This window comes from Homo sapiens, chromosome 8 (assembly GCF_000001405.40).
Source record: "Homo sapiens chromosome 8, GRCh38.p14 Primary Assembly".
Taxonomy (NCBI): domain Eukaryota; kingdom Metazoa; phylum Chordata; class Mammalia; order Primates; family Hominidae; genus Homo; species Homo sapiens.
The window spans coordinates 89,213,691-89,219,436 of NC_000008.11; the positions used below are offsets into that span (position 1 = coordinate 89,213,691).

The 5,746-nt window shown below is 39.3% G+C and overlaps 1 annotated feature.

Annotated features, from left to right (window-relative positions):
• Positions 4,280–4,781: an enhancer, noted in NCBI's record as "H3K27ac hESC enhancer chr8:90230199-90230700 (GRCh37/hg19 assembly coordinates)". NCBI's record gives its function as "activates a minimal SCP1, AML or CMV promoter by ChIP-STARR-seq in naive H9 embryonic stem cells {active_cell/tissue: H9 hESC(naive)}" and the evidence as "EXISTENCE:reporter gene assay evidence [ECO:0000049][PMID:30033119]".

Here is a 5,746-nt window from a genome sequence, read left to right on the forward strand (position 1 = left end):
GAAGCCTAAAAATTATTCTAGATGCCTATTTATCACTAACTTCTCACATCCAACCAGTGTACATCTTGAACATTCCATCTTTCTAAATATGTGTTAATTACCCACCTCAACATTTCAGTAACAATGCCATAGCTTTGATATTCATTAGTACCACCATGAATCATGTATTTTTCCTGACTTTCCTCCAGTATGCCCTCTCTTCTAATCTAGCCTCCAAACTGTTCCTACAAGGATATTTCTAAAATGCAGATACATCACTCTTCTTCATAAATCCTCATTAATTTTAGTATAAATGTAAACACCTATTCGGATTAAAAAAGCCCTTCATGATCCTAGCTGTGATTTTCTTGCTCCCCCTTGCTATATTTATTCTGGGCTCCAGTATGCAATTTCCTGAATGAGCCTTTCAGGTTTATGTGTTGGTAACTTCACACAACCTTGTGTATCTTCCAGAAACTGACCTTGCCCTCCTTTTCACAGAGCTGGCTGACATTTGTCTTCCAACATTCAGTTCTAAGGTCACATCTTCTGGAAAGCCTTTTCCAACATACCAACAGATATGGTATGCTTACCTCTTTAGAAACACTCAATCCTCACCACTATAGCATTTATTATACTGTACTATTACCATTACTTTTTGCAGTCTTCAACAGATGGTAAGACAAGTAATTTCTTACACTGGACTTTATGTCACCAGTACCTAATACAATACCAGTAATTAATTGCCAGTAATTAATTTTTTAAATAATGATAATCTGACTTCATTCAAATACCCAGGAAAACTCTTCTAGAACTCCTTCTTCTATCAAGACTCACTAGTCTAAAATGCAAAGAGAAATATGATAAAAGAGGACAAATTATAGTGATTCTGGTCATTGAATTTTTCTTGTATTTTTCTTTCTAGTTTTCTATCCTCTTACATTCCAGCGTATTGTGAAACTACTATACTTAACACCTGCTATATTTTTGTGAAAGCTGACTGAGCAGCATGCTCCCTTCTTTTAATAAATTTACTACTATATTTCTAACCAGATACTAAGTATTAATTATTGTTGTAGGATCTTCCACATATTTTCCAATATTTCCAGTATATTCCAATGTAATATGTTATATATGTTGTGATATTTTCATTACAAAATAAATATATTCTACTCTCCTTTTCTTTCAAATGAATATTTTTTCTTATTTATAAATTATAAAAATAAAAGGCCAAATTGTAAAACCTGTTTATTAGTCTGTTTTCACATTGCTGATAAAGACATACCTGAGACTGGGAAGAAAAAGATGTTTAACTGGACTTACAGTTCCACATGGCTGGGGAGGCCTCAGAATCATAGCAGGAGGCAAAAGGCACTTCTTTCATGGCAGCGGCAAGAGAAAATGAGGAAGATGCAAAAGTGGAAACCCTCAATAACACCATCAGCTCTCATGGGACTTATTCACTACCACAAGAACAGTAGAGGGAAAACTGCCCACATGATTCAAATTATCTCCCACCAGGTCCCTCCCACAACATGTGGGAATTATGGGAGCACAATTCAAGATAAGATTTGGGTGGGGACACAAAACCAAAACATATCAACCTGTTTTACTAATTAATTTTCTTCTATGGATATCTAAGCTATGAAGATATAGCATAGAAGACATAATTTTATATATGAATTACTTATATATTTTCTTTATATATCTTCCACTCATCCATTCTAATTTCAGGTCAGAATAAATTATCTGGAAAAGCCACAAATGGCAAATACATTATTTACAGTGTTAGAAAATAGTTCCTTTTGTCCTAACATGGTTTTTTTCCTGTTTCAGAATTCATCAATGCCAGGAATTTTTCTAGGTCTAGGGAGGCAGCAATGAAAAAAACGGAAAAGCCTCTCTGTTCTTATAGATAGACATATAGATAGACTTAGACATATAAAGACATAGACATAGGTAGAGGCATAAATATAGATGTACACACAGATATAGGGTTAGCGATATAGACATAGACATAGGCGTATATAAATATATATATATATATATATATATATATATATATATATATATATATATATATAATGTCAAGTGGTGAGAAAAGCAATGAAGAGGGTACCAAGTCAATAAGAGAAAAAATGATAATGCATGGGGTGCAACATTAGTAAGCCTCTCTGATAATATGAAATTGACACAGAGACCTGAAGAGTATAAGTGAACAAGCTGGTTGTACAGTCCACCTGGTGTAAAAGTAATATAAAAAGAATGAACAACAATGTTAAACCCTAAGAACACAGTTGATATATTTAAGGAAACGCTAGGAGGTTAGTGTGGCTGGAGTGGAGTGAGCAAAAAGGATTGTGGTCAAATATGAGGTCAGACTGGAGACTGGGGGTAAAATTATTTAGAACATTATAGGTCATAATTAGAAAATTTGGTATAGTATGCTTTAAATTTAAAATATCACTTTGGTTGGTATATACATAAAAGATTGCAAGGGCAACTGCAAGGATGGAAACAGAAGACCTGTTAGAAGGCAAATGTAATAATCCCTGTGAGAAAGCATGGTGGCAGTGGAAGTGTTGAGAAACAGTCTTGGTGAGCTGACGATCTAGAAGTGCAGTATGAAAGAAAGAAAGAAAGGAGAGTATTAAGGATGAATTCAAAGTTTATAACTGAGCAACTTGAAGAATGAAATTTCAAATGACAGAAATGGGGGAATTTTAAGGGAGAACAAGTTTGGAGAAATAGGAATCAGCTGTTTTGTTTTTAGGGTGCTAGTATAATGTGCCTGTTAGATGTGTAAGATGTTGGACAGATGGTTGAGTTCACTGAAAAGAACCAACCTGAATATACAGCAGTTGTGGCAGCCATTGTTGATGGCTTACCACATCCTCTCATCATCTATCATTTTACTTGCATTTGTCCAACTTCCAACTGTCAGTACCTGTGACTCAGCTTCAGGGTTTTCTCTGGCAATTGGCTTGCCTACAATTGTGGCAGGCAGGAAGTGCCCCCTGGCACTTTAAAGAGGAAAAGATTTAAGAAGGAAAGATTAAGGATGTCAAATGCCATGGCTCTGGCAAAATAGTGATGTCTAGGGACAAACCATGGGATTTGACAGCAGAAGAGGGTGGGGACAGATGCCTAAATGACTTGATTTTCTGGAAAGTTAAATGAGAGAAATTTAAATTTTCTCTCTGGTATTCTCTTTAGTCAGATTTTTTGAAAAGTAGATTAATTATAAAAAAGTCATGTGGTGACTCAGGCCTGTAATCCCAGCAGTTTAGGAGGCTGAAGCAGACGGATCACCTGAGGTCAAGAGTTCGAGACCACTCTGAACAACACAGTGAAACCCCATCTCTACTAAAAATACAAAAATTGGCCATGCCTGATGGCGGGTGCCTGTCATCCCAGCTAATCCAGGGGTTGGAGTGGGAGAATTGCTTGAACCTGGAAGGCAGAGGTTGCAGTGAGCCAAGATTGCATCACTGCACTCTAGCCTGGGTGACAGAGTGAGACTCCATCTCAACAAAAATAAATAAATAAAAAGTGACTCAGGTTACTGTGTGAAGAGTGGATTATATTAGTGAAAGTGTAGAAGCAAGAAGACCAAAGAGAACTATTATTTTAGTTGAAATAAAATATAATTATGTCTTGGATGAAACTAAAAAAACAATGGAAAAAACAGGAGGATATGTTTTGAAGATAGAGTCAAACTTATTTGTTCTGATATGGAGAACAGGCTGAATAGAGGAATTGAGGTTAACTTTTAAATTATTTGCTTGAGCTAATGGATGAATTAAGGGACTTTTTTTGGTATAGGAAAGAATAAAGGTAGTGGATTAGTGTAGGGAAGTAGGGATCAAGAGTGTTTTTTTTTTTGGCTATGGTTATTCTCAGATTCCTGTAAGACATCCATGTGGAAATGTCCAGTAGGAAGTTGGATATTAATATAATGACCAGAAAAATACTATAAATGAAAATATAGATTTGGGAATCGTAAGTACATATAAAGAGATTGAAAGATATAGAAATAAATTTGTCTACCTACTGAGAGATTGTCAAACCTTGAGAGATTACATATACTAAATCTCTCAAGATTTTCGTATAATGTATATGAAAAGGAGAAGAGATCATAGAATAAAGGTTAAACAGGCAAGAGAAATCAGAGCCTGGGAAAAAAGGCTAGATCATGAAAGACAAGATGAGAAGAAATTCTTTCAAGGAGGAGCTGGTTAATTAAGTCATATGGTGATGGGGTGGAGGTCAGATAAGTAAGTGACCCTGGATTTAGCAGCATGGGTGTCCCTGTTGACCTTTACAGGAACAGTCTCAGTGGTATAACAGGGCAGAAACCAGAGTAGAGTGGGCTGAGGAGAGACCAGGAGGAGACTAAGTAGACACAGTGACTACAAAAACTCTTTTAAGAAGTTTTATTCTGAAGGAATGATAGCAGGAGGGAGACTGGATATCAAAGCAGGATCATTTACTTAAGAAAAGGGATGTTACTGTCTGGCAGCCAAGATGGCCGAATAGGAACAGTTCTGGTCTACAGCTCCCAGCGTGAGCGACACAGAAGACGGGTGATTTCTGCATTTCCATCTGAGTTACCAGGTTCATCTCACTAGGGAGTGCCAGACAGTGGGCACAGGTCAGTGGGTGCAGCGCACCGTGTGCAAGCCAAAGCAGGGCAAGGCACTGCCTCACTCGGGAAGTGCAAGGGGTCAGGGAGTTCCCTTTCTTAGTCAAAGAAAGGGGTGACAGACGGCACCTGGAAAATCAGGTCACCCCCACCCTAATACTGCGCTTTTCCGGTGGGCTTAAAAAACAGCGCACCAGGAGATTATATCCCTCACATGGCCTGGAGGGTCCTAGGCCCATGGAGTCTCACTGATTGCTAACACACCAGTCTGAGATCAAACTGCAAGGTGGCAGCGGGGCTGGGGGAGGGGCGCCCGCCATTGCCCAGGCTTGCTTAGGTAAACAAAGCAGCCAGGAAGCTCAAACTGGGTGGAGCCCACCACAGCTCAAGGAGGCCTGCCTGCCTCTGTAGGCTCCACCACTGGGGGCAGGGCACAGACAAACAAAAAGACAGCAGTAACCTCTGCAGACTTAAATGTCCCTGTCTGACAGATTTGAAGAGAGCAGTGGTTCTCCCAGCACGCAGCTGGAGATCTGAGAACAGGCAGACTGCCTCCTCAAGTGGGTCCCTGACCCCTGAACCCCGAGCAGCCTAACTGGGAGGCACCCCCAAGTAGGGGCAGACTGACACCTCATAGGGCCAGGTACTCCTCTGAGACAAAACTTCCAGATGAATGATCAGACAGCAGCATTCGTGGTTCATGAAAATCCGCTGTTCTGCAGCCACCACTGCTGATACCCAGGCAAACAGTGTCTGGAGTGGACCTCTAGCAAACTCCAACAGACCTGCGGTTGAGGGTCCTGTCTGTTAGAAGGAAAACTAACAAACAGAAAGGACATCCACACCAAAAACCCATCTGTACATCACTATCATCAAAGACCAAAAGTAGATAAAACCACAAAGATGGGGAAAAAACAGAATAGAAAAACTGGAAACTCTAAAAAGCAGAGCGCCTCTCCTCCTCCAAAGGAATGCAGTTCCTCACCAGCAACGGAACAAAGCTGGATGGAGAATGACTTTGATGAGTTGAGAGAAGAAGGCTTCAGATGATCAAATTACTCCGAGCTACAGGAGGAAATTCAAACCAAAGGCAAAGAAGTTGAAAACTTTGAAAAAAATTTT